Here is a 22,915-nt window from a genome sequence, read left to right as displayed (position 1 = left end):
GCAGCTCCGACTACCTCACTGCAGTAAGCCAGCTCTCTAGAGCAGGGTCCCCAACCCTGGGCCAGCCTGGCAGCTCTGACCACCTCACTGCAGTAAGCCAGCTCTCTAGAGCAGGGTCCCCAACCCCAGGCACAGACTAGTCCTGATCCGTGGCCTATTAGGAACCGGGCCACACAGCAGGAGGTGAGTAGTGGGAGAGCAAGCATTGCCGCCTGAGCTCCACCTCCTGTCAGATCAGCGGGGCGTTAGATTCTCATAGGAGCGCGAACCCTACTGTGAACTGCACATGTGAGGGATCCAGGTTGTGCGCTCCTTATGAGAATCGAATGCCTGATGACCTGAGGGGGAACAGTTTCATCCCCAAACCATCCTCCTCTCCCCAACCCTGGTCCCCAGTGGAAAGACTGTCTTCCACAAAACTGGTCCCTGGTGCCAAAAAGGTTGGAAACTGCTGCTCTAGAAGACGCCTGGGAGCCGCTGGTCTAACTGTTGCTGCCTCTGGGCTGACCGGGCTGGGCCTTCACTCCAGAAACATGCTGGGACTCTGGAAAATTGTTTTCTCCTCCCTTCTAATTTTCTATATTACTACACAAGTGTGAATTGCTTTTGTAATTAAAATAGCCAAACTTTTTCAAGTGTTATGGCAAAATCTTGAAAAGCAAAATTAAATACAATCTGCTTGATGGTTTTATAGCATTCCCCTGACCTATCTGGGGAGCCCCAGAAGCATCACAAAGCCCGAGATGAGCATCATTATTTCAGCAGCTTCCCTCGGCTGCTGAATATTGATCCACAGGACTGCTGGGAAGGGCAGAAGCCAGGAGATTCCGGAAGGGCTCCAGCTCCAAGGGCAAAGCCAGCGCGCGCTGTCCTCAGGCCTTCTCCCCTTCTAGCACCTTCATGATCTCTCCTGTTCTCTCCACTGACTGCCTCACACCCCCTCCTGCTGCCCAACTCCAAAGTCGGCCCTTCCTTCCGCCCTTGCATCCCTCTGTAGACTCCTCAGGTCTCCCCCTTTTTCCTCTCACTGTGACCCAACCAGCTGCAGGTTTTCCTTTGTAGGCTTGGACCCAAGTTGGTCCCTGAACACTCCTAGGCACTGATAAAGGTGTTTCAGTTGTTGACCCAAAACATGGAAAGAAACTAACCCTGGCCCTGAGCCAAATTCCTTAAACCCTCAAATAAACTCCATATGCCAACCCCTCACTGTGGACAGACCTAGGTGGAACGCCCTGTCCCGCTGTGTGTTGCGACCATACACTGCAGCCCTCAGTATGTAAGTTCCCCTAATACATGCTTTAAATTGATCACCCAGCATTTAGTGCTTTGTTCGTTGGAATCCCAACCAGCCCCATCTTGGGATGGTTTGGGGCGCTCCCCTGGTGGGAACTCCCTGCCACCGCTGTTAGGGTGACTGCAGCTGGGGCTTCAGCTGGAGGACACACCCTCCAACCCCTAAGTGGTCAAATCTTTCGCAAGATAAAACATTTCAAACTTATCCACATGAAGACAGAGTGACTCCCAAGGGCTCTGCATGTCAGTTTCCCTGCCGGGGCACTGACAGACAGCATTTTTTACGAGGCAACTCCTGAAATTAAGGAAAACCTCCTGGTTGCTGGAATTTCTAAGCAGAAGAGAAAGGGAAGGACTTTGTTACGTCAGCTGACCCTGACTTCCGACAGGACGCACTTCTGCCCCTTCCCAACACCTTGACAGAGGTGACGTGACATAAACACTCCACCCTATTCACCAAGGAAACCCCGTACATGGTGAGCCACGGATCCAAACCCTTACCTGAGTTACCACGTAGAATCCGAAACTGTGGATGTTGTAGAAATACCCTAAGCCGAACAGGGCGGTGAAGGCTCCGCTGGCGAGCATCCCGAAAGTTAGGTAATACCTAATCGGCAGGCGCTCCCCAATGATGCCACTGAGGTGGAGAGAAGGAAAGACAAATAGGAATAACAAACACGCCCGAATGTTAGCAACCTCGTGGCTGTTTCTTGCCGGATGCTTTCATGCTGTTCTCTGAGCTTGGGGAACTCTCAAGCCTTACAATTTCCAGGAAGATTTCATACACTTATTTCCCTATGGAGCGCTTACTCACCAGAAACCAGAGACTGGCAACATCTTAGAAGATTTTATTTCTAGTAGAAGTCCTATCTGTCAAATAATAAAATTCAAACACTAGGACTTATCTATGATAGCTGCCAATGAAAGGAAACAGGAACTCGTCTTGCTAGTTAATCCTGCTTTCACATAAACCATATCCAGTAAATGTATATAGTGTCTTAAAATTCCAGTTGTCAAACTACACCAAATGTCATGAGATCACTTATGACCCTGAGCAAGTCATTCGGCCCCACGAGCTGTAATTAAGTCACCTGTGTTAATACACCTGGCTGGCTGGGCTCAGTGGGGAAGTGGCTTTCAGCTGCTTTGCCACTACCGCCTCCTGCCACACCACTTTGACCTGATTTAAAGGCAGAAGATTTGCTCTATGGTAAGGTCTGAAATGCTGGGGTGGCATCTCTCTGATCCTTCTGAACAGCAATGCGATTCACTAAACAGCTACCCTCTTTGGTGTCTTATCTTCTAGAGCTGTCTGGGGACCTGGTGGCATAAGGGATGCTTAGCGCCTCACTAAAACAGCCTCGAGGGGGGTGGTAAAAAGTCTCCAGCTTCACAGCAGGGAACAGACTTAACAGTCTTTAGCCGCCATCACAGCACAATACCTAATGCCATCCAAAACATCCCTTACTGTTTTATGGGAAATGTCACTATGGACCAACTTAACATTGTGACTTATTAAGTAAACAGAAAAGCTGTAGAGTATCACGGATGGACGTGAGCCCTTCACAAGCATTAGAGACTCTATGGGTCTCACTTTCTTCTGTAGGGTCATTCTAGGAGTCAGATAAACAGGAAACCTAACACACAGTGACACCTGCCTGCCATGAACCCCACTCCGGGAGTCAGCTCCAATGTTCTCAGCTTTCATCTCAAAAACCTACGCCAGAGAGATTTTCCTTCCGAATTCACCAAGTAAAAAAGATCTACCTTGGATCATGCAAATGACCTTTTAAACACTAAAGCAGAAGAAAGTAACTTAAAATTATAGACAACATCCAGGTGAAAATTTCAGCTAAAACCTCACCACACACAGACTCAAGAGCATTGTAGAGCTAGAGAGTTACTGACTTCAACCTGCCCACTTCAGAGACCAGGAGATAGGTCCCTGAGAGGCTGGCTGACCTGCCCAGGTCACAGCACAGCTGGCACAACCAGATGGGCTCCTGAGAGCTGGGTGCTGCTGGCTAGGCTTAGAAGTATTCTCTAATCTTGCTATATGATTTGGGCCTACTTTGATCTCTACTGAAAAATTTTAAAGAAAAGGTCTAATTGAACAAACACCATTTCACATTACATGGGACTCATACAGGGATTCAAGTCCACGCTGCACCTGCTTGAACCCACCAGGCAGTACCTGGGCTGAATGGCTGTACCCTATCAGATCTGATTTCATCTGACATAGCGAACAAAACAGCACCCATCACTGAGACCTCAGGTAGGGACTGTCACACAAAAAGGCCCCTTCAATGCAGCAGCATGTGCCCTTGTTTTCAGTCATGAGTTTACTGTGTAGATGTCACATTAGACCAAATTTTGTTTTAATAACCTTACTGACAAGTTGCATAAGAATTATCTTTACCGTAAATAAGCAACAAGAAACCAGTTTATTTACTTAAAGCAGGCTTTCTGAACCCCAGCACTATTGATACTTTGGCTCCGGTAATTCTGTGGTGTTAGGGGCTGTCCTGTGTGTTGTAGGATGTTTAGCAGCACCCTGGTTTCTAGCCACTAGATGCCAGCAACATCCCTTCCCTGGCTGTGACACCCACAAATGTCTCTAGACATTACTAAATGTCCCCTAGGAGACAAAACTGCCCCCAGCTGAGAACCAGATTTAAATGCAGTTTTCCAGTAACTGAGAAAAACACATTCCCACTTTGGGTCTTTTTATACCACAGATTATTTGTGTTCAGTAAGACTGCAGTGTGGGGAATATAAACATTTGACCTCAAAGTGGAGAAGGTCTGGCAGCCTGGCTGAGACCCAAGCGCTAAGGAAGCCCCAGGTACACACCACACTCTCCAGCTAGGCTCCTGGTCTGCTGCACACCACACACTCTGGGATTCCAAATCTTTATTATTCATTTGTTCACTTAGACAAGTTCTGCAGCAGGAGGCAAATACACACGTTCAATAAAGGGAGAGCTATGCACTCTCCTCCAACAGCAGACACTGCCTGCCTGGGCACCAACCACCCACCAGGGCTCTGAGCGGGGTAGGGGGGCCCAGGTCTTGATGATCCTACACTCTGGGCAGGTCTCAGGGAAGCAGCTAAACATTTATGGGGATCCCTGGGTTTCTCCAGGCGGTAAAGACCTCTGTCTCTGAACAAAAGCCTCTTGGGACCACATGCCTCAGTCTCTGGCTGTGGTGTGACTATGGTTGGTCTCCATCAAAACTTGTGTTGAGGCTTGGTCCCCAGTATAACTGTGTTGAGAGGTACAGGGAGCTTTGAAGGGCATTTGGGTCATGAGGGATCCGCCTTGACGAAGGAATGAATCCGCAGGAGTGAGTGGCCGCGCTCTCAGGACTGATGAGCTATTGTGAGAGGTGAGAGCTGGTTGCTATAAAGCAACGTCACCCCTGTGCTGTGTCTGTTTTGTATGCCCTGCTCACTGCTAACCCATCTCACAGGGGCCTCTGCTAGGTGACGCCCTCCACCACATTACAATGTGGCACGAGGCTCTTGCCAGATGCAGCTGCCCAATCTTGAACTTCCCAGTTAGATAAAAGCTAAATACACCTTTTTTCATTATAAATTACTCAAGCTCAGATATTGTGCTAATAGCAACAGAAAATGGGCTAGAACATCCCTATACTGCCTTTAAAAAAAAACCTGGCTGGACTGACACAATAGCAGTTTTTAATCAGCCAATCACACGTCCTATGACCCATATAATATTCACCACCTGCCTTGGTCAGTTCAAAGTGGGATCAAGAATGGGCTGGGCTGGCAGCACAGGCCAGGCACCGTTGTGAGCTTCTACATACATTAACTCAATCTTTGCCCCAATCCTATGACATAAGAACTATTATTTCCTCCATGTTGCAAAGGGGAAACTGAGGCCCAAAGAGGTATAGTAACTTGCTCAAGGCCACATCCTAGCAGGTGGTAGAGCTGGGGTTCAGATCCCAGCTGGTGTCTCTCTGGAGTTCCCTGCCCACCACGCAGAGCTGCCTCTGCTGTACTCAGAGCTGGGACTCAGATCCGAGCCGGTCTCTCTCTGGAGTTCCCCACCCGCCATGCATGGCTGCCTCTGCTGTGCTCAGAGTTCTGGGGCCAAGCTGGGCATCCAGGTAGAGCTGTTCAGCACATCCTGTGTCAACTGTTTCGATCATCAGGTGAAATTCGTTATTTGGGGCATATAAACAGATGGCAACCTCTGAACCACAGGAGAGGTTGGGCTCTGCTGAACAGGAAACTAGTCCTCTGTTCCTGAATGACCACGTCCCAGGATTGGCAGGATTCATGGTAGGTCCTAAACTTCAGGGCCAGGAAAGCTGAGGGCAGCCTGTGTCAATTGGCACAGTGCCCGGGACACGGAAATCCTCTGCCTCGAGGTCCTGTGTTGTGGGCACAGCACACGCACTTGCTCTCTCCTAAGCTTGGCCTCGTCTTTGGGAAGGGAACAGCAGGGAAGCCAGTGGCAAGCGGGGGCCTCAATCCCGCGCGCCTGTGCACTTCAGCATAGCGGATGTCTTCTCTGCACGGAGGGGCCAGGTAACCAGGAAGGGTCTGGAAAACTGAAGGAGACCTACCTGAGGTACATCCCCACGGCATAGGCGCACAGGAAGGAGTAGTCCAGGGCCCCAAGCAGCTGCTGATAGTTGTTCTTATCTATATGAATTTGAAAACCAGCAGGACAAGCTCAGTATTGTTTAGTTTATGTTCTAGAGCACGGCTATAAAACACAAAGCATCTGTTCCCGAAATCGGGGTGTACTTAGTGAAACGCGTGGTTTTCCACATAGAAAACAAGGCGGTGCATTTTCTGTTCAGTTTCTTGCAAAGGAAAATGAAGTCACCGCAGTTTCAAATAATCACTAAATATAATACAGGCGTCATTCAGATGAGATAAAATCCCCATTGTGCATGGTGGCTGCACATTTGATTGATGCCTTTTCTTTTACGTGTCCACTGGCTTTTCTGCAGCACACCTGCCTAGGCCAGCACCCACACCAGCGCCTCGTGTCTCTCTCTTCTTCTCACCCACAGAACTATGCCCTGCAAGTCCAAAATACAAAATGCAAATGATCTTCAGCACATTTCCCCATAAAGAGAACCTTCTTTCAGGAGGAACAGCTCTGCGCACAGGCACTGTGGACACCGTGGCGGTGAAGTCATGTGCTTTTTGGTAGGAGAGGGCTGTCATGGAAATGCAGTTACATCTGGGAACAGCATTACTGCTGCTAAAGTGATTAATAGCAAGGCTGGAAGGACAGCCGCTTCGGCTCCTGGACGGACCGATAATCGACTTACCAAACGGTGCCCAGCCACAGTCGGTCTCATTGTCAGGGAGCTGGTGGGGGGCAGCGGACCCAGACTTCCTGTTCTGGCTGCTGAACCTGACGTCAGCTTCATCCCAAGCAGTGCAGTACTTGTGGAGCTCACCCTGGGACGTGATGGGAGGGCAGAAGCAGGGAGAGGAAGTGCCCTCAGTGAGGCTCAGCATGGGGCACAGAGAGGAACAGTCACCCCTCCTCTCCCAGCAGCCTGCCCAGGGCACCTGCACCCTGCATTCTAAGAGGGACACAAGGCGCTGCTGGCGGTGTGTCTGCAGGACCCACAAGAATGCCTGCTGGTGACGTTTCAGCAGGACTCTCCAGCAACCCCACTCCTGAGCACGTGACGAACATAAGCCATCTTCATATGCCACCAGAAGACGAGCCTCGGGAGCAGTTTTAGTTCTAAGAGCTCCAAGCTGAAAGCCGACTGCCTGTCATCCTTGACCACCTGTCCACAAGGAAGAAGGGGTACATTTTCCTAGATTCACACAACTGAATGCTACACACCCGTGAAAAAGAACAAGTTACAGGTCCAGGCAACAATGAGGATGAACCTCACAAACATAACATGAAGCAGAAGGAGGCAGACATGAAAGAGTACAGACTGCAGCATTCCACTCATAGGAAGTCCAAGCATGGGCAACGAATCCATGCGGCTAGAGGTGAGAGTCACGGTTACCTAAAGGGGGACAATGTGGGACAGGGGATGGGGAGCTGTCTGGGAGCCAGAAAGGGTCCATCCCTTAACCTAGAGGATGACTACCCCTATGGGCATGTACAGATCTGCCAAACTGTACACTGAAGATTTGTATACTTAGTAAGTGTAAATCATACCTCAATTTAAAAATATCCCTGGGGCAGGGGACCACCCACCCACCAAACTGTCCACAGAACCAGCAAGCAGGGCCAGGGTTGGAGACACTTGTCTGGGAGGTGGGAGGAGGGGAAAGCCATCGCCCTGGAGTTTGGTGACTGGCTGTGTGAGCATGTTACTTGCTGCCCCTGCCTCGGTCTCCCCCTCTGCAGACAAGGCTGCTGCCCAGTTACAGAAGTCACTGGGACCCGTGACGCTGAACACCAGGCTTTTTGCACAGAGCTTAGGATGACACGGCCCTTGTGAAACAAACCCTGGGCAGAGAGGAAAGCTCATGTGTCGGGAGGCAGAGGGGCCTGAGTGGGTGCTTCTTGTTGGGAGGCAGAGGGGCCTGAGTGGGTGCTTCTCGTTGGGAGGCAGAGGGGCCTAAGTGGGCTCTTCCTCAGGGCATTCCTTGGGAAGAGGAACAACACTTCCAGGACAGCGCCACATGTGGCAGGGGCTCGTCTTGTTGCGGGGGAAACTGAGGAAGACAGAATGTGCTCTGTGACTGTGTGTCCCTCCCTGGTGGCCTCTGTCGCTCCCATGCTTCTCTTCTCAGGGGTCTCTGTAGTGATCATTCTGCACTATTCAAGATTCAAAGGAGTTGCCCCATCAAGCGTGAGTGATGGCGGCAAGTGAAGTCCTTGTGGTCAGAGGGGTGTCCCTTAGGGGGATCGAGTGCCCATTCAGTGCCCGTGATACCAGAGGGGTGTCCTCGTGAGCTGGAACCTGAGAGAGGCCAGGGGTCTGGAGGGCAGTGCACAAAGCTGGCTCCAGGTCAGGGCACAGAACGCTGGGCAGGGAGCCACCCCAGTGCCCAGGCAGGCAGCAGCCGGAAGTCCTGCCCCCCCTCTTCAGGAGGGAGTGGCCAACAAGGCTGGCCACTTTCAAAAGGCCAGGGCTTTTGAATCGGAGCTAGACACCCTGATTTACAGCTGGCAGCACGTGGGCCACGTCACTGAGTCCCGGCATGTCACACGTGATGCAGCTGCTCCACGGTCACGTGACTCTGCCGTCATCACTGGGCTGTTCTGCTATAATTAAACACTGTCCCCAAAAACTAGCCAAGGGCTCTACTTTACAATGCAAAGTCATCATCTGCCCAGCAGCTCCCTTGGCAGAGCTGGTCCTCCCTGGAGGCGCCATGCTGACCTCCTGGCATCTCAGGAAGAGAGTGCTTTCATTTGCTCCCCAACTGCTTGGGTCCCCCTGGCTGCTCCTGCTTGTGTTTTAAGTTCTCCACCCAAGGTGGACGTGAGGGGCTGGGAGTGTGATCGTGAGACCCAGGGCGGGTGCCTGCAGCCCTTCCTCTCTGTATCAAGCTGGTATCTGTGGCCTTTCTCTGTTCACCCGCCGCCTTGTTGAACACTTCTCCTTGGCACCTTCAGAAGCCAGGTGTTTCTGCCCACCTTTCCCTGCTGCCTCCCATGGAAGTCAATCTGGCCACGCCCAAAGGGCCTAAGCATCGCCACTACAATTCACCTCTGACTGAAGAAAGCCACAGCTAGGGCAGGAATACAGGACATTCCCCGGCTGAGGGAGAATCATGTGCAGGGAGAAGCTGAAGTTTCTAACATTAACCTGGTGCAGAAGAAAGGAAAAAGAGATTCTGCAGGCCGCCGCTTAAAACAGAATTTTATATCCTTTGTGATTTAATATTTCTGGGGAGGAACCACCTGTGGAAAACATATCCGATTAGAAATGTTCCCTTTTTTTCATAAATAAGCAGAAAAGTTTTCCTAGTTTTGTTATGTAATGAGTGGGGGTCTCACATCCTGGTTAGGGATATAGGCTTCGGCAGCAGACAGGCCTAAGCTGGGATCTTGGTGCCTCTCTGTGGCTTCTGGCCTTGGTGACATCACTTACACTCCCTGGCCATCAGTTATGGAGTTGGCATGACAATGCCTGTGTCCCAGCATTACTATAAAGATGGACCATAATCGGAGTGTGCCTCTCTGGCCCTCCGCCCCTGGGAAGGGTCCAGGAAAGGGCCACTGTGAGTCCGGGCGCCTCTCTGGCCCTTCTCCTTGATGTTGGAAAGGTCACCTTCACCCGCACCCCGCAGACCTGTTGGAAGGCTGCTGCCAAAGCCATCGAGATTTCATATTACTCCAGCACAAAGAGTTCTGAGGATATTTACATAACCACAGGTTTTCAACAACATTGCTATATTTCAGTATTTCTATGAGTTTTATCCCCCAAACGTGGCGTTCCAGAGACAATGCAAACTTAATTAGGTTAAGATGAACTGGTAAGCAAACCCCTCGCCAGGTGAGCAAATTCTCACCAAAGCACTTCAGGGAAGCACCCTCACCTCTGCATAGCCACACCATCCCTGCGGAAATACTTGGGGAGGGGGTCAAGTCCTTTGGGAAACGTCTGCTTTCATAAAAGCAGCTTTCTTTACACCTTTTTACACAAGTGCCTTTCAACAAGTTACATACAAAATCAACCTGTGACATCAGGTAGATATTAAAAACTGATCAGGCAAAAGCCTCTGCAGCAACTGAACTCCACACTTATGTGAGGCGGGAGGCTGAGTGGGCCCTGTGAAGACGCGGGCGTCACGGCTGCTAAAGCGTCCATGCAACACACAGAACAGCAACAAAAATAAACAGCAGATGCCATCGCGGGTGGAGGGTGGGGGTGGGAGAAGAAAGGTGCCAATCTTCTGGAAGAACACAGAAAACCGCCAGGAGTCACAGCGCGACGAGTGTGCGGGGAAGGCGGCGGGGCCGGGAGTCACAGCGCGACGAGTGTGCGGGGAAGGCGGTGGGGCTGGGAGCTGGCAATGTCTTCTGTCTACAGACTCCCTCGCCACATCCAGCCCTCCCCACCCCTCCCACTGGCAGCGAGAGGAAATCCCGTCCGGGGAGCAGCAGGCAGCTGCGGTGGGAATTTCATGACACTAGAAAAGACTGGACTCCTCCCTCATCCTACACCTGCAGAGCCCCACGCAGTCATTTAGGCACAAACATTCACTGTATTCGCCTGCATTCCATGAAGGCTCCGTTCTTTCCATGCTGAATTTGAGCCACTTCGCAGACAGAAGTGGCCCTGGGTTCTCAGCCCCACCTAAGTTGCCTAAGACTACAGCCACGCGACACATTCTCTGCAGCAGGTACGTGGCCTCCAATAGAGGAGATTATCAGGCAGTCTGGAGGGTGCAGGAGCCACTGAAAGGCAACAGTGAGAGGACAGGACAGGAGCAGGGGATTCAGGCCTCACTGAATCCCCCTGGAGGACAGTGGGGTTAGGCCAGTTTCACTCCACCTTCAGCCAACACAGAGGGGGTGTGTGTGTGTGTGTGTGTGTGTGTGTGTGTGTGTGTGTGTGTGTGTGTGTGTGTGTGTATCATCTGCATTTGACGATCTGTCTAGTCAACTTTACGTGGCTCATTAGGCTGTGTGGGTGCACTGATTCTAACCAGTCCTTCACATTCCTTTTATAAGGCTACAAGAATTCTCCAAAGCATTATCTAAGTCCTGGAAGAGCAATTACAGTTTTGGTACCAAAAGTAGGAGCGACCAGCCAGGCTCTCCCCCACAGACAACAGCACCTGCCCACGGCCAGCCTCCTGCGATGAGTCACAGGTGCCACGTGAAATGCATTATACACACTCAGGGACAGACACGCAAATGCTCCACTCATGAAGGATACAGAAATAGATGGAGGAGCTTCTTGGTCATTGTTTACTTCTCAAAAATGGAATCATTCTATACATCCTTATGCACATGTTAACTTCTTACTCAAAGTACCTCCTGGAAATGTTTCTGAGTCAACTGGTTTGCCTGTGATGAATTCTTTTAGGGACCTGCACATTTCATAATACGGACTTGTGATAATTTATTCAAACTTTTACCTACTTATTAGGTTCCCTTGATATCCAGCATTGTTTTTTTTTCCTTTTTGCTTTTTTTGGTCACTACAAAGCTGCCATAAAGATGCTTATGAAGATATTCCTAAGTAAGGTGCTTTTATTTTTAGGGTGAAATTCCCAGAAGTATGTCTGAAGGCTGTAGTGTTTTTTATTTCACTGGGTGTCACCAAAAGGCGCTAACGCTTGACATCCCATCAAGAACGCATGAAAACTCCTCTCCCCTCACGACCAGTGAATAGCGCTTACTGCCCTGGGCAATGCTGTGCCAGCCACTGAGCACAGTGTTGCCTTAATTTGCATATGGAATACCGGCAGACTCGAACACCATTCACATATTTCCTGGCGATCTGAATTCCGTGTCTGTAAACTGCTTGTTCATCCCCCTTGCCCGTTGTTTCTTTGGGTTTCCTAACTTCACACTCACTCCTACGATAAACATAATTTTCTTCTTGGATTTGTACTTTTTGTATTTTACATTCATGTCTTTAATCCATTTATTTTATTTTACTTTTTTGAGATGGAGTCTCACTCATGTCACCCAGGCTGGAGTGCGGTGGTGTGGTCTCGGCTCACTGCAACATTCGCCTCCCAGGTTCAAGCGATTCTCATGCGTCAGTCTCCCAAGTAGCTGGGATTACAGGTGCCCGCCACCATGCCCAGCTCACTTTTGTACATTTAGTAGAGATGGTCAGGCTGGTCTCGAACTGCTGACCTCAGGTAATCCACCTGCCTCGGCCTCCCAAAGTGCTGGGATTACAGGTGTGAGCCACAGTGCCCGGGCCATTTGTTTTTATAAAATAGGGATTCAACATTTATTTCTTCCTGACGAATAACCAGTTGTGCCGACACCATTTATTAAATTTATTAAATAAGCTCTGTCAAATATTCCATATTTTCTAATCTATTCTACTGACTTTTTTGTCTATTCTCATGTAATATCATAATTTGATTATGGTATTAAAATATGTTAATCTTTTGCATATTTTCATATCATAAAATGTTATCTTTACACTTTTCTTGATAATTCCTGGACATTCTTTCATACAAACTTTAAGATTATTTTATTCAATTAAAAAAAACCCTGCTAAGATTTTCACTGGAGTTGCATTTTATTTAAATATTAACACTGGGAGAATTGGAACTTTCCAAATAACAAGTTTCCCACCCATAGTACATACTTCCAGCTTTTCAGACTTTGTTTTCTGTCTGCCACTGAGGATTATTTTATTTCATTTTTTTTTAGATGGAGTTTCACTTTGTCGCCCAGGCTGGAGGGCAATGGTGCGCTCTCGGCTCACTGCAAACTTCGCCTCCCGGATTCAAGCTATTCTCCTGCCTCAGCCTCCCCAGTAGCTGGGATTACAGGCGCCTGTCACCATGCCTGGTTAATTTTTTTTGTATTTTTAGTATAGATAGGGTTTCACTATGTTGGCCAGTTTGGTCTTGAACTCCTGACCTCAGGTGATCCGCCCACCTCGGCCTCCCAAAGTGCTGGGATTACAGGCGTGAGCCACTGCGCCTAGCCAGTTTTCTCCTTTTAAGTCCTGTGTGTCCAGAGAGGGGTGGGCACACTCACATTCAAATCAATGCTGCCATCCCCCTGGCTCCAGGGACCCCTGCAGTTTAAGCTTCTCCGGGAAGCCTCTGCTTTCAGGTTTCTTTTCTGGCCCAGTCCAGGTGAAAAGAGCTCGCACTAAGATCTCTGCTGGGAGTCAGACTCACCTGTCTACCAGCTTGGGCAGACGCTTGCCTTGAGTCCTGAGGCTAGGCCACAGCTGGAGCAGCAGATAGAAGGGACAGGGTTGCACTTATAACACCACTATCCTCCCAGCCCTGGTTTTATCATCATCATCGAGAAAAATACAATTAATCAGCAGTGATCAAAGGTAAGTCTAAACATTCCATTTAACTAACTTAAATGTGACCTGGTGTGCCGTGTCATTCTATAAATGACATAACAGAATAAGACTCACTTTCTAATTCACAGCCTCTGGTTCAATTTCAAGTAAGCAAATACATTTTGCTTTGGTTTTGCTTACAATATTCTGGGAAATGCAGGCTATAAATAATCACTCAACTGTTTTGTGGGTCAACAGAATCACTACTACTTTCAGTTTCGTTGATGCCATTTATATCATGAGCTCAAGCACACGGGCGCTTCAGAAGGCACTATAAAGTTTAGTTTTGATGTGGTGTGATGTTCTGATCTATCTTGAAAGGTAAAGAAACCCACAGGATTCAGCGTCAAGCCAATCCATGCCCAGGCACATCGCAGCTGCTAGGTCAGGAAATCTGTGCGTTTAGGAGGCTCTGAGGGTGATGCTGGGACTGTACTCAGGTAATTAAACCCGGACAAACCCTGAGGCACAGAGAGGATGAGTAGGGGCCCTGGAGGCAGCCTGACCCACAGGGAATTCTCGAGTGTGTGGCAGCCCTGCCTGGGGAACGAAGACCCGAGCCTCAATTTCCTCACAGGGGCACTCGCAGGGTTGCTGTGAGGATCACAGGGGTAATGTATGTGGCAGTTTGTCATACCCCAGGGCTCTGTAAGCGGCAGTTATTTATATTGTTACTTATGACACTGAACTAAGAGCTGACCCTGACGCCGCCTCCTCAGAAGCCCTAAGTCTTGAGTGGCCTGGACACCACTACACACGAGAGTCAGGGGCGGGGGCTTTGAGATGGACCACCAGGAAAGCCGGGAGAGGGACCGGGACAGGGCTCCCACTTGCTCCTGGCTCACAGGGGCCCTCATAGTCATCAGGTGGACCCCAACAGCTGTGGCCTGACAAAGATTCCCCCAAAGGCCAGCCCACCTTACACGCTACATCTGCCCCAACAGCCCCCCAGCCCAACAGGTGGTGCCTTCATGGAGATGCCCATCCCTGCACGTAGCACTCAAGGCAGTTCTCCCACCTGTAAAGCTGTTTTTCTTCCCCTACAATCCACACCCAACCTTTCTAGGTCAATCCTGAAACCCCACACAAGCTCCCCAACTACACCAGATCCTTCAACTCCAACACGCTCACCAAGTCTCTTCAATAGTCACTTCCATCTTTATAATTTACCATTTTCTTGAGCTGTTTGTATATTTCTCTAACCAGAAAGACAAGAAGTAGTAGTATTCAGATTTATAATGACTGGTTACTGGTACTGATTTGAGAGTTTCTTGTCAAGCGGATGAGTGTTTAAGGCCCACCACCTCTTTTCATATTCTTCTCTCTTAAAAACCACATTTTCAAAGGTCTGCAAACGTTTTCCACAGTCAACAACTTGAGAGGCATGGAAGTTTCTTGCTTATCAGGGGCCAAGGGGGAATTTTAGAATCTTTTGGGTAAATGAATGTTTAACATCCCCTGAAAGCTGCTGGAGAGTGGGGAACCTAGGACCGTCACAAAACAGCCAGCCTCTGCATTGCCTCTGCCGACCAGGGCTGCAGAGGGCAGCCACCCAGGGCTCAGCCACCGGCAGGAGTGGAGGAAGCACAGCTCCAAAGGTCACAGAATTGCAGTCCTGGAGCTGGGTCCCTGCCAACTCCCGGAGAGTGAGCGAGGGGCCACTGGGCTGTGAATGCACTGTCTCTGGCAGTGGATGATTTCCTCGTTCTTCTACGATAGAGACTCTAATGCCTCTCAGGCCCCTGATGGTCTACAGGCCGGGTGACGTAATCCCAATGAGGGTAAGAAAATTATTCCTGCTTTTCTCCAGGTTATAACTGGTGATTATGTAGGCTTGTCTGCTTTAATCTTCTTTTCTCAAAGTCTAGTAGAACACCTGCTTAACAACTTCCTGCCCACCCATCACTCAGACAAAAATGCAGCGTTCCAAGAACAATGGAGAGCCACCTCCGCAGCCAGACCTAGGGTTGGATCGCACGAAGAGCTGGAATTTGGGGAACCACTTAAGACTGGATACATTTGGAAGGAACAGTCACACAAGATAAAATAAATATTTAGCTAAGCTTTCAAATTCTGGAAATGTCAACTAATAAAACTAAAAGTCTACTACCTCTGAAAGTATAAATCCAAAAAACATTTAAAAGACTTTAATTTTAGCAAAGGGAAACCGAAAAGCCAAAGCAGCAGAATAACTTGTTTCTACATAATCTGTTTCCCCATGTACCTGCTACCATCCCCATCCTCTGCCCCACAAGCTTTTCAAGTGACGAACTCCTCACAGAGACGACAGGCAGTGCTTTCCATGATTCTTACCTTAACTATGCTGATAGGCTTTCGAGATAAGTGAAAACTTGCATACAGCAGAAATGTCAAAATAAAAATGAAGGCTCTGTACCTGAAACACAAAACAGTGGGAGAGGATGATATGAAATAACAGAAGTTATGTTAGGAATACATATCACTGTGTTCTGAAACGTTCTTATGCTGTGTATTATTCATTCAGTTCTACAGCCATTATCAATATTACTTATGTCACTATAATATTGGAACATTAAAAAATATTGCCACGTTTGCTTTGTCCAAATGGAAACTGAACACTGTAAGAGACAGGAAAAACCAGACTGCTTTTCCTACCCTCATGCACAACACACAACATACCATACTTCTAACACTACGTGTGTAGGGGTTTTCCCCATATACCAAGCAATTCTCCAGCTGACACTGGATGTCCTCTAAGTGAATTCAATTCTCACACTGTCTTCCAGGAGTCAGCATCAGCCCCCACAGGGCGGGGCTCCGGCCGAGGCTGCCCCGCTTCACATGCCAATGGCAACAAGCCCCAGGTTGTGACCTGCTCCTCTGACCAACTGGCTCTCAGGGTGGTTCCCAAGAACCCCTTCTCAGGTTCGATTAATTTGCCAGAGCAGCTCGTAGAACTCAGGGAAACACATTTACTGCTTTATTATAAACGATGTTACAAAGAATACATACAGATGAAGAGATGCACAGGGCGAGGTATGGGGCAGGGAGCTCGGAGCTGCTGTGCCCTCGCCAGGGCTCCACCCTCCGGGAACCTCCCCGTGCTCAGCAGCCTGCAAGCCCCCAAACGCTGTCGTTGAGGGAGTCTGTGGAGGCCTCATTACACAGGCACGATCGAGCAGAACACCGGCCACTGGTGATCCACTCCACCTCTGCGGGCTCCCTCCCCTCCCCAGAGGTCCACGGGTGGAGTCCCAACCTCTAATCACGTGGTCGGTTGCCCTGGCAACCAGTCCCCCAGGAGGTTGTCCTGGGGCCCGCCACAGTCACCTCATTAGCAAACAAAAAGACACTCAGCACTAAAGGTTGTAGGAGCTGTGTGCCCAGAACCAGGGCCAGAGACCAAAAGCATGTTTCTTATTATTACGTCACAATATCAAAAGCATTCATCTATTTAAAGAAACCGTAACCAAAGGGAAACCTGGGACTCGAGATGCACACTTGAGTTTACAAAGCAGAACAAGCACGATGAAATGTTTAGTTTACAACAAAACTAACCACAAGTTTCTGGCGTAGCCTGCTATCCTGGGCAATTAAGATCATATTTATTTTTGGCTCTTTGGTTTCTATGCAACTTTTCAGAAGCACACAAGCAAGGCAGACATATAAATATTTCACGGCCCTCAAAGAGAAAAAGGCAGTGACGCTGGCAGGCTCTCAATAGGCCAGTGACAGAAACACTGGTACAAAGCCCCTCGCTCAGTTTGGCTGGGAGAAAAGCAGCCGAAAGAGTCAGCATGAGTGTGAGGAAGAAAGAAGAAAAGAAGGTGCCTTAGAAAGAAGACAAAGGGCAACTCCAGTCTAAGAGTCTCAACCACCGCATAGAAAAATACTTTTTGGGGCAACAAAATGGGTTGGGAGAAAGAAGTATTTGACAGGAGTGGAAGGCGAGGGGCAGCTCTTCTGTGTCCTAGGCACATCTCCCTACCCTGGAGAACCTGTCCTGCTTGTGGCCTGGGAAGAGACTTCAAATGGCGCCACCAACAACCTGAATCAATAATTACCTAAGGCGGCGTCCTACACAGGACAAAGAAAGGCAGCGTTTCCGAGAGTCCCTGGGATAAGGGGTTGCTTCTCCCAGCTGCGCATCTACATTTTTAATGTTGTGATTTACTCCGAGGGAAGCTTTCCACAAGTAACTAAAATCCTAGGATCCCAGAGCTGCCTTCTTCTCTGGTCACCAGCTAAAGTAGGGGTCAAATAAATATTTCCAGATTTTTCTTAAAAAAAAAAAGGCCATATTTCAGGTGGGAAAGAAAGGTTGGTGGCTCCGTGTGACACAAAACTACAACCTTTGGAATGCCTGTGCCTTTGGGGAAGGAACCAAACCAAACCAACTCGCAGAATACCTGCTGACTGAAGACAGAAATTCCCCAGTGCTCTCTTCTTCATCAGGGAACTATCTTCCAATGGCCTTTCTCCAATTCTTCCTCTCCAAGCCCATGGCAAGGGCCAAATGGGAAAAAAGCGAAACCCTAAAAGGCGAGCCTATCATTTATCCCAAAGCCCAAAGAACAAAGGCTATGTGGGTACAGTGGATTTGCTCCAGAAGCCCCGGCCTCTGTCCTCGTGTTTCTGAAAACCATCCTTTCTGGCAAGGAAAGAAAGTCTCAGCGCTTTGGATGAAGCTCTCTGTTAGGCCACCACTGCTTCTCACGCCTTCGACTGCTGGTGCAGGAAGATTCCAGGCCACTGGGCTTCACCGGCCCTCAATGCTCACTTGTCCAGCCCACAGCTTGACAAACTGGTCACTTCCACCCCACCTGCTGGAGCTGACTAGGGCAAGTAAGGCTGATGGGTGACCCTGATCGGCCCTCACTGGAGTACAGGGTTTCCTTCTCCAATCTCCTCAAAACAGGTGAACAAAGTTCTCAGGCCAAGTTGCCTCCAGCACCTCCCCAGTCTCAGACAAGTCCATGGACCATCTCTCCTGCTCCATGCAGGAGGATTCTCCAACCACAGTGCCAGTTCTACAGGTGTTATCACCCAGCTAGGAAGGATTTTGAGAAGAGCAGCTCTGTCCTATGGGCTGTGGGTTCACATCTCCACTCTCCACCCAGACAGCCCAGAAGGAAGGCTGTCTCCCTTTGTCGGGCTGAGGTCTGAAGAGTGCTGAGGCCCCGACACACACCGCGTTCCCAATGGTCAGGGCTGCTTGGGTGATCAGGCCCTGGTGATGCGTTCTGGGCTCCTGCCTTCCTCTGCGGGGTGACTCCCGGCTGGTGCTCACAGCACACGCCTAGAGATGCCCTGAGAACACTGAGGAGCACACAAGGGGCAGCACATGCCTCTGGAACCTTTAGTTCAGCCTTGTGTGGAGGGAGACACCTTAATGAATGAGACCCTTTGGGAAGAGTCACTGCCACGGTGTAGCCAGGCTGACAGAAGCCGTCCTGTAGAATTGGGTGAAGGGTCCATTTACACAGCAAACTGGAATGTTCCTAAAGACTGAAGAGGAAAACGCTGTATTTATTTAGCTGGTGTCAGGCCAACTCTACTTCTATTTCCAAATTCGTCTTTCCTCTCTCATTTCTTCATCTTCTGTACTTAGGACTTGGGGCTTGGGGATGGGGGACGCAGTGGCTGGAGGCTAGACTTTCCTCTTTGAAAGGTCTGACTTCAGCTCCCGTGACTATTGCTAAACCGCGGCAGCCACACTCGGGCCGCTGCCTTGCTGGTTGTCACCCCGATACGCCTGGCCTCTGGGTAGGCAGACGCTTCACTCTGCAGCATGGATGGGCTCAAACCCCCAGAAGCCAAACAGCCCTCCCGAAGTCCTTTCTTATTTCGTAATTCTATCTACGTTTTCTTTATCATTTATAAAGCAGATGTTTTGGATGATATGTTTCCTTTTGTTCATTTTGTACTGGGTTGAATATCATCCCCCATAATTTCATGTCCACCCAAAACCTCAGAACGTGACCTTATTTGGAAATAGGGTCATGTAGACATGATTAGCTCAGGTGAGGTCATATTAGATAGAGTGAGCCCTCATTCCAATGACTGGCGTCCTCACCAGAAGGCCACGCAAAGACTCAGAGACAGGAAGGGAGGCCACGTGGCCACACAGGCAGAGACTGGTGTGATGCAGCCACCAGCCAAGAACGGCGGCAGCAGCAGGAGCTGGAAGAGGCAAGGAAGGGTCTGTCCCCGGAGCCTGCAGAGGAAGTGTGGCCCTGCTGACACTTTGACTTTGGACTTCTGACCTCCAGGGATGTGAGAGGGTAAATTCCTGTTGTTTCAAGACACCCAGCTTGTGGTACCATGTTACAGCAGCCCCAGGAGGCTAATATAATCCTTTCATTTTTGTTTTGTGTTATGTTTAGACTTATGAATATAAAACAAATACAATAAAAAAATAAATGATCTAATCTATCTGCTCCTCAGTGTTCTGCTTACTTTTTGCAGTTATGACTACTTATAGCATGCTTGGCTTCCACCAATATGAAAAATCCCACATTTCTAGCAAAAAAGCAGGTCTCAGCAATGACAGCACCAGATGGGGGTGCCCCTCTGGGCCTCCTCAGAGATGTTCTGGAAGACCACGTGTTCTCAGGTGAATGGCAGCCTGCTTAGGGTGAGAGGCTCCATGCAAAATATCTGTCTCCTTGTTTGACTGTTATTACCTCAATCACATGCAAATAAGGAATAAAGAAACACTTTTGAGAATTACTGAGTGATATGATTTGGTGCAGAAATTAGTCCAAAGACATCCTCTGCTTCACTCTGCAGCATGGATGGGCTCAAACCCCCAGAAGCCAAACAGCCCTCCCAAAATCCTTTTTTATTTTGTAATTCTGTCTATGTTTTCTGAGACAGAGAAGCGATGCCATGTCCTGTTCAGAGTATCCCGTCAGAAGGTGCAGGAGGGCAGTGACACTGACGTTGGTCATTGGTTAAAGTGCTGTCTGCCTCATAGTTCCTCAGTGAAACCACTACGTTTCCCTCTAAGTAATGAATATGGAATTTCTGGGAACCTGCTTTGAGATAATGTAGATATCCTGTTCCTCAAGCTGCCGCCCCACGGGGTGCATCCATGGCGTTCTGTGCCTGCGCTGGGTACCCTGCAGCGGCTCCACATCCCCGCTCCACCTAGCGGCCAGCTTCCACTGTACGGCGAGCGTGCATTTCTCCTACTTCTTTAGTTATATCAGTAGGACTCGCCGAATCTTACGCTATTCAATGGGCTATCATTCATGAGTCTCATTTATTGTAAATCTCAGATTGTCCTAGATTTGACAAGTCAGAGTCCCTTTGTTTGTAAGTACTTCCTTATTTTCTGGCACAAGATGTTCTGGGCTCATCTATTCCTTGCCCTGCCCCAGTCCTGGCATTGGCCAGGTCTCCAAGGACTCCTGGCTCCTTTTAGTGGGAGATGCCATGCAGAAACCAAGATCCCGGACCAAAGTGTGCTCACTTTAGTGCTCTTACTGTTCCCAGGACCTCCTAGCGGGGTGCATTTTACACACACACACCCACACACACGCACACACACACCCTTCTCTATTTCTATATCGACCATCACCAGTTTATCCCGAGAACTTTCATTCCAATCCAACCTCACTCAGTTCCTTCCAGTTCCCCTCCCTCTTCCCATGCCTATAGCTCCTTCTCCATTAAAGAGAAAGCTGCCTCATTTCTATGGGATTTCTGTCAAAAATGCATAATCTGAATCTAATCATGAGGATGAGGAAATAACAAAGTTAAAATGTGGCACATTCTATAAAATAAGTGGCTTGAACTCTTCAAACACAACAAGGCCATTGTCTCAGAAGAAGAAGGAAAAAAAGCCAAGGTCAGAAAAGATGAAAAAAGGCCGAGGAACAGTGCTAGATGAAGAGACGAGACCCATAGGATAATTAAACGCAATGTATGAACCCGAACTAGATCCTGAACAGAAGAAGAAATGCTATCACAGATATTTGACATTTGATATTGTTTTTAACATGGACTGTGGGTTAGATAACAGTATCTTATCGGTGTTAAATTTCCTGATTTTGATCTTTTTGCTGTGGTTTTATAAGAGAATGTCTTATTCATAGGAAATACACACGGAAGTATTTACAAATAAGAGGGTATGATGTCTGCAACTTACTCTCAAGTGGTTCAGAAAAGTGTGTGTGTACAAACATACATCTACACACATGCACACACACACACACACACAAACACACTGTGGAGGGGCAGGGAGAGAAGCAGATGAGGCTAAATGTTAATCTTTGACATACAGCGGTTCTACAGGAACATTCTTACAGATGTTAGTAAGTTACGTGAGTTTGAAATTATATCAAAATAAACTTACAAAATGAAGAAGCTAGACATTCACTAAATAAAACCTAAGTGTTCAGGCACTTGTGGCTAGACTCACAGCAGACATGAAATAAGTCAAGAAGAGAAGCAATCTGGTTGAAGAACACAGATGCCCTCAAATCAAACCTGAGACACCCTGTGGATGCTCCACCAACCAGCAGGGCTGAGAAGCTGCACAGGGCTGGGGGCTGCCAGGGGGTTGGCGTGGAGGAGATGAATGGGCCCAGAATCTGCCGCTGTGGCATCAAAATCATTTTGAGCAGAAGGCATTTGCGTTCCTGAATTCTCTTAGCTACTGAAAAGCAGAGTTCCCCAAAAGAAGTCAAAAGAATCCATCTGCTATAAATCCTGTCCCTTAGGAGGGGCCAGGGAAACAGGACTCTTACCACTGGAGATGAGAAGCCTCCACACTGCACTGAAACAGGAATGATCACAAAACTACCACATCGCCCATCTGTTCTCTGTTCTCTTGAGGGCCCACTTGTCTTTCCAAAAAGCCATTCGTTTGCCCACAGGTACCTTTCTCTCACTCCCCTTCCCCTGTGAAGGACGGACGGTGCATAAGCCCAGAATTCTAAATGCCCCTTTGAGGGACACTTTTCTATGACCTCTCGTACATAAGTGGTGAAATCTGTCTTTTCTCTTGCTAGTCTGTCTTTTGTCAGTTTAATTCCCAGGTCCCCCAAAACAGAACCTACGAGGGTAGAAGCAAAGTTTTTCCTCTCCCAGAAGAGGTCAGCAGGACAAGTTAGAGGCCAGGGAGCCCAGCTTCAGACTCTGGGCTTGTCAACTGTTTCCTTCAAGGAGAATGGAATTAATGAGGCCACCTAAGAGAAGGATTCTCAGAATATGCAAGGCGAGGCACTCTCTGAACGGAAAGCAGCATTCTGGGCTGCACCAGAACATTTCATTTTCTCTCTGAAAGTTCTGCCCCGGCAAGGCCACTCATCTGATCTCAGAGTTGTGTAACTTATATATAAGTTATGTGCTTATTTCACCACAGCCATTTGCTAACCCTGCTGGTAGTCAGTGGTCATTTTTCTGTAGGGACCATGGTTCTTAGAGAAACCACTGGAGACCACGCGGGAGCCCAAACACTATCTGACAATGCCAGTACCAAGGACAAAGGACACCTCAGCACTGTTCTGGGTCACGGCTTCCACCACCAAAAAGCAATTCAACGGTTATGGGTGAGGTCAGTGATTCAAGTTTTATGTGTTTTATAATGAAACTGGGGCAACACAACTACCTGCACAGTAGCCCTCACCTATACACAGCTCCATGCCAAGGGCCTG

At 48.7% G+C, this 22,915-nt stretch overlaps 1 protein-coding gene and 1 long non-coding RNA gene across 22 annotated transcripts in view, besides 8 other annotated features; one reads left to right on the top strand and one right to left on the bottom strand.

Moving 5' to 3' along the window:
* SLC37A1 (solute carrier family 37 member 1) overlaps positions 1-22,915 on the bottom strand; it is an 81,805-nt gene that overhangs the window by 39,985 nt on the left and 18,905 nt on the right. For 16 of the 19 annotated variants that reach the window (NM_018964.4, NM_001320537.2, XM_047440843.1 and 13 more), the window contains 4 exons: positions 15,585-15,666; positions 6,612-6,744; positions 5,892-5,970; positions 1,795-1,930 (listed from right to left, as the gene is read on the bottom strand). In NM_018964.4, coding sequence (NP_061837.3) covers positions 1,795-1,930; positions 5,892-5,970; positions 6,612-6,744; positions 15,585-15,666 — 430 coding nt within the window. Of the gene's footprint in view, positions 1-1,794; positions 1,931-5,891; positions 5,971-6,611; positions 6,745-15,584; positions 15,667-16,262; positions 22,897-22,915 lie in introns of those variants that run through there. The other 3 variants (XM_011529615.3, XM_017028376.3, XM_011529614.4) reach the window with 2 other exon arrangements.
* Positions 335-1,000: an enhancer, noted in NCBI's record as "H3K27ac-H3K4me1 hESC enhancer chr21:43960552-43961217 (GRCh37/hg19 assembly coordinates)". NCBI's record gives its function as "activates a minimal SCP1, AML or CMV promoter by ChIP-STARR-seq in primed H9 embryonic stem cells {active_cell/tissue: H9 hESC(primed)}" and the evidence as "EXISTENCE:reporter gene assay evidence [ECO:0000049][PMID:30033119]".
* Positions 5,325-5,374: an enhancer, noted in NCBI's record as "active region_18527". NCBI's record gives its function as "activates an Ori minimal core promoter by ATAC-STARR-seq in GM12878 lymphoblastoid cells {active_cell/tissue: GM12878}" and the evidence as "EXISTENCE:reporter gene assay evidence [ECO:0000049][PMID:35858748]".
* Positions 5,405-5,594: an enhancer, noted in NCBI's record as "active region_18526". NCBI's record gives its function as "activates an Ori minimal core promoter by ATAC-STARR-seq in GM12878 lymphoblastoid cells {active_cell/tissue: GM12878}" and the evidence as "EXISTENCE:reporter gene assay evidence [ECO:0000049][PMID:35858748]".
* Positions 5,645-5,694: an enhancer, noted in NCBI's record as "active region_18525". NCBI's record gives its function as "activates an Ori minimal core promoter by ATAC-STARR-seq in GM12878 lymphoblastoid cells {active_cell/tissue: GM12878}" and the evidence as "EXISTENCE:reporter gene assay evidence [ECO:0000049][PMID:35858748]".
* Positions 6,025-6,204: an enhancer, noted in NCBI's record as "active region_18524". NCBI's record gives its function as "activates an Ori minimal core promoter by ATAC-STARR-seq in GM12878 lymphoblastoid cells {active_cell/tissue: GM12878}" and the evidence as "EXISTENCE:reporter gene assay evidence [ECO:0000049][PMID:35858748]".
* Positions 6,790-15,842, top strand: LOC107987299 (uncharacterized). 3 transcript variants are annotated; one of them, XR_007067878.1, is made up of 2 exons: positions 6,790-7,299; positions 12,617-15,842. It is a non-coding gene; the product is annotated as an uncharacterized LOC107987299 (long non-coding RNA). The 3 variants fall into 3 exon arrangements; XR_001755068.3 differs by having other exon boundaries at positions 10,946-15,842; XR_002958640.2 differs by lacking the exon at positions 6,790-7,299 and adding an exon at positions 10,161-10,614 and having other exon boundaries at positions 10,946-15,842.
* Positions 16,157-16,246: an enhancer, noted in NCBI's record as "active region_18523". NCBI's record gives its function as "activates an Ori minimal core promoter by ATAC-STARR-seq in GM12878 lymphoblastoid cells {active_cell/tissue: GM12878}" and the evidence as "EXISTENCE:reporter gene assay evidence [ECO:0000049][PMID:35858748]".
* Positions 19,850-20,349: an enhancer, noted in NCBI's record as "H3K4me1 hESC enhancer chr21:43941203-43941702 (GRCh37/hg19 assembly coordinates)". NCBI's record gives its function as "activates a minimal SCP1, AML or CMV promoter by ChIP-STARR-seq in naive H9 embryonic stem cells {active_cell/tissue: H9 hESC(naive)}" and the evidence as "EXISTENCE:reporter gene assay evidence [ECO:0000049][PMID:30033119]".
* Positions 20,350-20,851: an enhancer, noted in NCBI's record as "H3K4me1 hESC enhancer chr21:43940701-43941202 (GRCh37/hg19 assembly coordinates)". NCBI's record gives its function as "activates a minimal SCP1, AML or CMV promoter by ChIP-STARR-seq in naive H9 embryonic stem cells {active_cell/tissue: H9 hESC(naive)}" and the evidence as "EXISTENCE:reporter gene assay evidence [ECO:0000049][PMID:30033119]".

The sequence above is a fragment of the Homo sapiens genome, chromosome 21 (assembly GCF_000001405.40).
Source record: "Homo sapiens chromosome 21, GRCh38.p14 Primary Assembly".
In the NCBI taxonomy this organism is placed as follows: Eukaryota; Metazoa; Chordata; class Mammalia; order Primates; family Hominidae; genus Homo; species Homo sapiens.
This window is presented reverse-complemented; position numbering and strand designations above follow the sequence as displayed.